This window comes from Homo sapiens, chromosome 8, assembly GCF_000001405.40.
Source record: "Homo sapiens chromosome 8, GRCh38.p14 Primary Assembly".
In the NCBI taxonomy this organism is placed as follows: domain Eukaryota; kingdom Metazoa; phylum Chordata; class Mammalia; order Primates; family Hominidae; genus Homo; species Homo sapiens.
Genome location: NC_000008.11, coordinates 72722371 through 72731466, shown reverse-complemented (window position 1 = coordinate 72731466; position 9096 = coordinate 72722371). Strand labels below are relative to the sequence as shown.

The following is a 9096-nucleotide window of genomic DNA, read 5'->3' as shown; positions in this document are numbered from 1 at the left end:
TTAATGGGCAAACTCTCTTGGCAGATACTTCCATGTTTAACATACAATGATGATTAATGTTCAAAATGAGGATTGCCAGATTCTGAAATGCCTTCTGAATCATTAAAAGAAATTAATTATGTCCAATATGGTTTTGTCTTCAGTGTATTTAATTGTATGTTAATTCTTAAGTGAACTATTCATCACTGATATATATGATGACTTTCTTGCAAGTGAAACATGTGAGTAGCCAAAACATTTCATCCTCTGAAAGTATAGGATAATACATGTACGATGCAAGATGTTTTCCTCTTACTCTCTCCATCTTCCCCACTCACTCACTCACCCTTCCATCCAATCCACCTTTATAGACCAGTTCTTTGAAGTGTGAGTTTCTGGCCACTGCAACAGAATCATTCAGGATCCACATCTCACATCCAGCAATCATTTCCTAGCCCTTAGTGAAATGACACACAACAGAAGGGAAGGAATAGGAAGAACGGTTAACCATGGCTTCCTGGTCAGGAAAGCTAAACCCCTGCACCACTGCTTTTGTAGAGGAGAACATCTTCTTCTGGTATGAAGTTTTCTCATTTTTTTTTAATAGTCTAAGGTGGTTTGTTTTAGTGAGAGTTATCTGAACAATTTCTTAAAAATACGATTATAAGAAATTGTCCAAGTTGGCTGGTCTTCAGTAGTTCAACATTGGGCTTAATTACACGTTATGATTCTGATGTTTAAAAAATTATATGCTATATTCTTTCTCTCTACACATACTATATTTTACTTAGATGATTTAACTCTGCCATTTTATCTTTGGAGGTTCAGTATTCAAAGTAAAAGTATCTAAGAAAGAGCTAATTGCTTTTTTCCCTTCACATCTTAATATTTATTAAAAAGGGAAAATGAAAAAAATGACATTGACTGTGAAGGAACCAGGACAAATGAATTAGTTTGTGAGTTACTGCCTTATTATGAACTCAGTAAGACTTTGCTAGATTAATAAAAAAGGCAAATCACAACAGGTATAATTAATCAATCATTAAGATAAGCATGATACACTGTTATTTCCTAATATGATTTTAGTATTCAATTGACATTTAATTTGAAATTAATACAAATTAATCTAGATTTCATCAAAGGCTCTTTTAGATATCCAGGTTAAAATTTATTGAAATGTATTTGGAATGGCAGTTGACTGCTTACAGAAAAGAAAAGTCGCAAGGGGAGATGCATCGAAAGCAAAACTATAAATGTACTTTTGGCTCTAGTTGGCCCTTAACAAGCTCAACTCCTCCCCCACCCTCTAGGCGACAATGAAAGTTTTGCTACTAATGTATAGCATAAGTTCTCCCCTCAGGAGCAGACAGAATTGGGGGCTTCCTATGTGGGATGATGTCTACGGGCATCAAGAAGGAACTTTACATTAAACAACACCAAAAACAACAGCACCACAGAATTATCAGGAAAATTTCTCTCCCCATGTTTATCAAAGAACTGAAATGACCAAATTAAAAGTTTATTCTCTGCCCCCCATTAAGACCATATATTTATATGTAGGTATGTGTGTATATATATATGTGTGTAATCTTTTTTTTTTTTGAGACGGAGTTTTGCTCTTGTTGCCCAGGCTGGAGTGTAATGACACATGATCTCAGCTAACCGCAAGCCCCGCCTCCCGGGTTCAAGCGATTCTCCTGCCTCAGCCTCCCAAGTAGCTGGGATTACAAACATGTGCCACCACACCCAACTAATTTTGTATTTTTAGTAGAGACAGCGTTTCTCCATGTTGGTCAGGCTGGTCTCGAACTCCTGACCTCAGGTGATCCACCCGTGTTGGCCTCCCAAAATGCTGGGATTACTGGCATGAGCCACCGCGCCCGGCAAGACCCAAATATTCTTAGGAGATGGAGTTGTGAACATTGTCAACTGTCTTCGTACTTCATAAAATGGATTTGTCTTCCTCAAACATTTGCTAAGAGGAAAGGATGTTCTGGAATATACTGATATCAAGTGAAACTTCACATGTGACAATTTACTGCAGATTTCTCTTTCTGAGAACCCGTGTATGGTCAGGAAATTGGCCTCCCTGTGAGTTTGCATTTAAGAGTCAGTTTTTAACCTTCAGGGTCCTCTATATCCAAAATGCTGGAGCAGAAGCCCAAAGTAATATTTCCAAATTAAAAAAATAGAAAATGGACCACTGGAATAGTATTGGTGCGCATTCCTAGCAGAACAATATGCAAAGTCAATGGACACTAGGTCTGAAGGTCAACTGAGATTTCCTCAGCACTTCCTATGGGCCATGTGCTTTACACCATCTTTACCACAACTCCATGCAGTGGGAACTCCTCATTGTGCAGATGACAAACTGACACCCAGAGCTGGAGCACAACTAAATAGTGATCCCAAGTTACAAAGAGTTTCTTTGATCACTTTAATTGCCAGGACACAGGTTTATCTCTCAGTTTTTGTTAACTGTGAAAGACATCATGGTCTTCACATGCATCCTAATCTAAACCCAGTCTTTAACGTTGTACTCTTGTTTATAGTTTCCTAACACTAAAGTTTTATTTATTTACTTTATTGCAAGATAAACCACTTAACTTAAATTCACCTCAAATTCTTTGAAGAATAATGTCAGTTATAAACAAATGGTTTATTGCTCTTTTTGCAATACCCTGTGTTGCTTTCTCTGGCAAAGACCTCACGATACTTCCAGGCCCAGTCTAAATGTTACTCCTTTTCAGTAACTTCTCTTGTATTACTTTCCCTCCCCTCTCCCTTTGCTTTACAGGTAAAAAATTAATTATTAATTTAGGTGCAGCTAATTTTCCCATATTTATATTAATACCTCCATTATAGTATGTATCACATTATATATTATATCATAGATATCTATCTACATCTGCTGGTGTCACAGACCATGGCTACAGTCTCATTTTATATTTTAGAAGAGTATGGTGCTTGAAACATAATACATGTAGGTGTTCATTGGTTTGTCTGATCTAGTCTTTGTTTTAACTAGTCCTGAATGATTATTCATTAATCTAGCTCTTATAGATGAATGTATAGATCAAAGAAACAAGACCAGAAAGCAGGATTAACAGGAATAGGATGGAATGCCGTGTATGACATTTCTTGATCAGCTTCTCTGTGAGGAATAACTGAGTGCCATACCTAACCAGGCTAAATGAAAGCATTATAAATAATACAGATATTTGACCCGAATATTTAGTCAACAATACATGGGGTTAACGTTTATTTCCATTCTCTCAAGTTAAAAACTGAGCAGAAATGTCTGGAAAACAGAGGCAAACTGAGAACAGGGACATTTCTGGAAGCCCTGGAATTAAAAGGAGAGTTGGCCTCCATTCTTCTGCAAGGTTTCATAACTGCAACATGGTTCAGGTAACAGGACAATTACAAGTTACCCAACAAGGAGACTGCATGCTGTTTTCTGCAGTTTTGAACTGGTTTTTATGCTTTCCAAATTAGTTTCATTTTCCTTGCATTTTTGGATATATAATTCTGGTAGTCAAATAAAGTCTATAAATGGAAAAATGTGCCGTATTGCTAAGACTATTATTTATGTGCACTCCATAAAACTATGCTTTAAAATAGCTAAAGAATCTGTAATCAGTTCCTAGAAATACTAGCAAGTCTATTTCCTTCTTATATAAAGGATCTTCAATGTTACATTCTGTGTTTTTCAGTCATGATATATGATCTCTTGTCTAATCCTCCTTGTGACTTATTGTACTATGAATTTGTGTGCCATCAGCCATTTCACAGGAAGTCCATGTAATTCTCCTGGCTAATGGTTCCTTCACATACTTTGTGACAATGTAAGAGAACCACAGCCTTTCCCATTATATACAGACTTTGCCAATACTTCAAACAAGATGCCAAGGTATAAAGACTTTATCTATGCTGAGGGCTGAGGGTCACCTAGCAAATACATAGACTGGTAGCTCTACTTGGCTTTTGAATGTAAGCTATAAAAATGCTTCCACTTTATAACACTGCAGTAAAGTTATACATATGTGCTACTATAATGAGCTGTACGACAAAAAAGAACAAAGAAAAGAGGAGCAAAAGTCTTGGTTAATGAGCTTACTACAATAGCGAAGGGAAGATGAGGCCCTTATCCCTATTTCTGAGTTTTCAGTTTTATTGCTAAAATATTTGATAGCTAAACAAATTTTCAAACTGTGTGGAAATTAGGCAAATGAGTGAGTGTACTGGGGATTTAAAATAGGTCTGGGGGGGACGTATAAAAAAGCCAAGTCATTTTCTGCTTGAAACATTTCTCTTCATTTCGTTTCAATTTCTAAAGGTCTCTTTAGCTCATTAAAAAATCTTTCTGCTTCTACTTGTTAAAGATTTCCTGACTCTTTTTTAGCTTACTAGTCTTTTTAATCCAATGAGCAAAAATATCCAGGAAATTGGCAAGTGAATAGTGATTAGATAAAAAGCAGAAAGAGAGGCAAATAGAGAGCATTTTCATTAGGTGAGGTTCACGTTGCTATCAGAGCTCTGAACTCTGTCTCTTAGTACATCAAGAGGCTACTGGCTGGAGCTGGGAGCTTTCTGTTCTCATGCAGCAAGACTCCTGGGTCTGAGAAGGTACCTCCTGAAGGTACCTCCTGAGCTGCCTCTTCATTTTCAATGTCACTTCCTGGAATGGATGTTGGCTCATTAACAACAACCAACAAAAAAATCTCTTAATTGATTTTCCTGATTACAAAAGTAAAAAATATTTAAAATGCAGAACTTGTAAAAGCACAAAGAAAAACGAAAGACAAATAACCTGTAATTCAATCTCTTAGAAACAATTATTTGTTCACATTTTGATATGTGACCTTGTATTTTTAAAATAAATTGGATATGTCGTATGTGTATATAAATTAGTTTTTATAAAAAATAGTACCATAGTTAATACTGTCTTATAGTCTGGCTTTTCACTTAAACATAATGAAAATGTTCCCATATTACAAGTCTGCTAAAGAATGACTGCACAATCATCTATGTATGTATTTACTATCATTTATATAACCAATTTCCTACTCTTAGATATTGGTCTGCGTCAGCATGGGTTGCCGTAACAAAATGCCATAGAGTGTGTGGCTTAAACAACAAAAACTTGTTTTCTCACAGTTCTGGAGACTGGAAATCTGAGATCAAGGTGCCAGTATGGTTGGTTTCTGCTGAGGGGTCTCTTCCTGATTTGTGATTGGCCACCAACCTGCTATGTTCTCACATGGCAGGATGAGATAGAGAGCAAGCTCTCTGGTGTCTCTTCTTACAAGGGGACTAACCCCATCATGGGGGCTCCACCATCCTTATTTCATCTTAACCTAATTACCTCTTAAAAGTCCCATCTCCAACTACCAACACATTGGGGGTTAAGGCTTCAACATATGAATTTGCAGGGGGACGCAGTTCACTCCACAGTAGATGTTTAGGTTGTTTGCACTTTGCAGTAGTATAATAAAGTTGTGATAAACATCCTTATCACATATCTTTGCAAATGTAAAGTCCTCTGTACTTGGCATAAATTTATAGAACTGTTGGACAAAAGGGTATGTGCTTTTAGAGGCCTTTTAAAAAATTAATTTAGGATAACCAAATCCTATACTCAGTTCATTCAAAATTAATTTAGTGTGCAAATCATTACTAAGGGCTTACTATGTGTAAGTTACTGTGCATACAAGGAAAAAATAAGATAAACCTTGCTCCTATGGAGTTCACAGTCTGGGCAGAAGGACCGGGGCTGGAAAGGAGGTCCGGCAAGCAAACGATGAGAGCTGAGGCAGTTTAGTTTCTCTCTCTCTACAGAAGTGGTTCATTTCAGAAGAATGCATATATATATATATATATATATATATATATACATACATATATATATACATATATATACATATATACATATATATATACACACATATATATATATATATATATATATATATATGAAGACAAAGAAAGCAAGCCAAATATGCCAGTCCACCTTCTAGAAAACTTACAATGCTCCCACGAGCAGAAGAGAGAGCCGACTTCCCTAAGTGTTAGTTCAGTTTTGAAAATTTGCTAGATTGAATTTGACTTTCACTTGGCCCTAACACTACAACTCTTCTTGTTCTTTTAAATTGTTAGTAATCAATGTGCTGGCTCCATGCCTAGAACTGTTACAAATAATGATAGAAATATCTTTCATTAGACAGAAAAGGAAATAAAATATGTGCATTTACCACAAATACCCTGTTTGAGGTACAATCAAGATATGAAAATTTCAAAATATCTGGCATTTCTTGCCTATATTTTAATTTTGGAATAATCTGGTGGGGGAGAAAAATTATTCTTTTGCTGCAAACAAAATAATAATTTTCTTTTTTAAACATATTTTTTTAAATGGAGAAGGGGAGTGATTGATTTTCTAGAGATGTAAAGAGAACTAAACCTTAAAACAATTTTGTGGAAGTAAATGTGATATCTCCAAGGTTAGGAAAATAAAAAATAAAAAGTAGCATGTCTTTGGTGTTAAAGCTCTCAAAACTAAACCATTTCTCTGAATAAAAAATATTATTATCAGAATGACAACCTGTGACTTCTAGTAATGGGAAGGGAAATTAATATATTTACTTATTGTGTGTTAGGTATTATGCTAGATCCGTCCATTTACATTATCTCAGGAAATTGCTTTAATTTCTCACAACTGCCGTATCTGGTAGAATTACCAGAATTAGCAAGAAAAAATACAGGATGCATCGTTAACTTTGAACTTCAGATATACAACTAATAATTTTTTAGTATAAGTATGTTGATGCAGTATTCGAGACATACTATTGTTATTTATCTGAAATTCAAATTTAACGTGGTGTCCTAATATTGTATTTGGCAATTTTAGGTAGGTATGGTGATTCATATTCTACTTTCCATATCATGAAAATGATATGGCCGGAAAAGAAATCAAATAAAGGTGCAGCTGTTTGTCTTAAAATATCTGGACTTTACCAATTAAGGCACTAGCTCTCCTCCAACACTCAGATTCAAAATCTTATGGCATATTTGGCTTGCTTTCTTTATCTTCACTTTGATTTAAGTTTTTCCAAAGTGATACATTCTTTGTCCTCCATTTGTAAGCCAAGACACACATTAAATGGAGGAATAGCTGTACAACTGGCATTGAAATATTAATTTGTTTAAAGATTGATTTTCCTGGCCATAACCACTCACTCATATTTAATTTACAGAACTGTGGGTACACAACAAAAATACAAAGCAGACAGTGACACGTGATATCCTCAAGGAAGACGAAATACCGCTATAACACCATGACAAGAGGACAGAACAAATAAAAGGACCAGAGAGTAATTGAGCAGAAGATGAGAAGCTCTAACTCATATGAGGAAGGTACTCTGAAACTGAATAAAGGAATGAGGAAAGCAGTGCCACTTCCCAGGCACAAGATGTAAACATTGTGATAGAACAGCCAGGGAGAAATTGGTTACTCATAATCTGCCCAAAAAAAATCGATACAGGAAGTGATCATGGTAGAAATGCACACATAGAGAGTACTTGCTCTAATTTAACAAGTCACGGCTAAGCCCTCTAGCCTCTTCAGATAATTGCCAGTGACAGAAATCTGGTTCAGAATGTTTCCATAACTGAATGTCCTAGGGTGGGCTTGGAAAATTCTACCATTTCTTGGGTCTCTGAAAGAGTGCATGTCCAACAGGTTTGGATTAGAAAATATGACCACACCGGGCCTTTTGTATTTGGGGCCCTTAGATTGTGAGAGTAAGGGAAGCAATTCTACCTAGTGTCTGAGGCTAGGTAGAGGAGGGACTGACACCAGAAGCTGAGTGGCTACCAACATGACAACAGAGCCCACTGGGTCTCCCAGGAGTGGGAGTGTGGGACACAGGAGGGATTGGGGCTCCAGGGAGGCCAAGAGGACAATCACTTCCTGTGTCCAGGGAGACCATGAGGACAATCACTTCCTGTGAGAGCGCACACAGTCTGAGGTTTGCCAAGAGATGGTTATTATAGTGGACACTGAAGAAATAAGGATGGTCAATTCATTTGGGACAACAAGATGTAGTTTTTTAGTGACTATTAAGAATTTTAGTTTCTTTAGTTCTAGTGTTACCCCATTTTAAATATGTTTTAGTTCAAATAAGCACCTCGTGCAAAGCATACTCTCAGCATGCATTAATGCAATCATTCTGATGTTCTACTTAAAGTGAGGCATGGAGGGTGAGTAATTTAAGAGGAATTTCACTTCTGTGCATCTCCCTGTCCAATTGCCAATTTAATTAACTAATCATTTCATAATCAAACAGTATAAAAAGCAAAAATTCCAAATTACTAGACATATTCAAATCAAATACTTCTCAGTCCTCTCAGGCAAATGTTAATTCTCGCAAGAATATGCACTGTTTATAACCTCACTAATGTCAAAAGAAGAAGGGAGGTTGGCTCTTCTCAGCACTTTGGGCAGTTTAAATTTTCAAGTGACTGGTGAGAAAAAGACAGAGCTCTTTCTAATGATGAGGTTTTCTGTGTGCATGGACTAGGAGAATGTGAACAGGGCTTGGAGTATGTACAAAATCTAGCATTCTCCATAGCAGGCACTAAATACTTTTGTTGAATTTGTTAATCAATAATACATATATTGTATTTAATGTAGTTGATTTTGTCAATAGATTTCTAGGCATGCTTATTTTAATTCCCTAATTTGTCTGAAACAAAAGAGATATTCTAGGCATCTAGAGCAAAGTGTGCTTTAACTTGCATATGCCTAGAACCATTTTGTCCATTTATTTAATCAGCATTTACTGTCCCAGGTGAGCAGAAAGAGACACACCCTGGACTTCTGGAGCTTACAGACACTGATTCGATGACCCCATAAGATACAACTCTGACAAGTACTACAAAGGAATAACAGGTGTTAGCTAGACAAAGAGAGTGGTAAGAGCAGTCTGAGCAGAGGGCCCAGCGCATGCAAAGCCTCTGGGCTAGAGGGGAGCACTACATATCCCAGGGAAGGAGGGAAGGCCCCATGGCTGGTTCAGAGGATAGTGGGAGAGGGAGGTAGGCAGCAGGTCCTTT

The 9096-nt window shown here is 36.7% G+C and overlaps 1 protein-coding gene across 1 annotated transcript in view; it reads right to left on the bottom strand.

The window, feature by feature from the left end:
- The window catches only part of KCNB2 (potassium voltage-gated channel subfamily B member 2), a 401125-nt gene that overhangs the window by 206883 nt on the left and 185146 nt on the right, over window positions 1-9096 (bottom strand). The window lies entirely within an intron of this gene.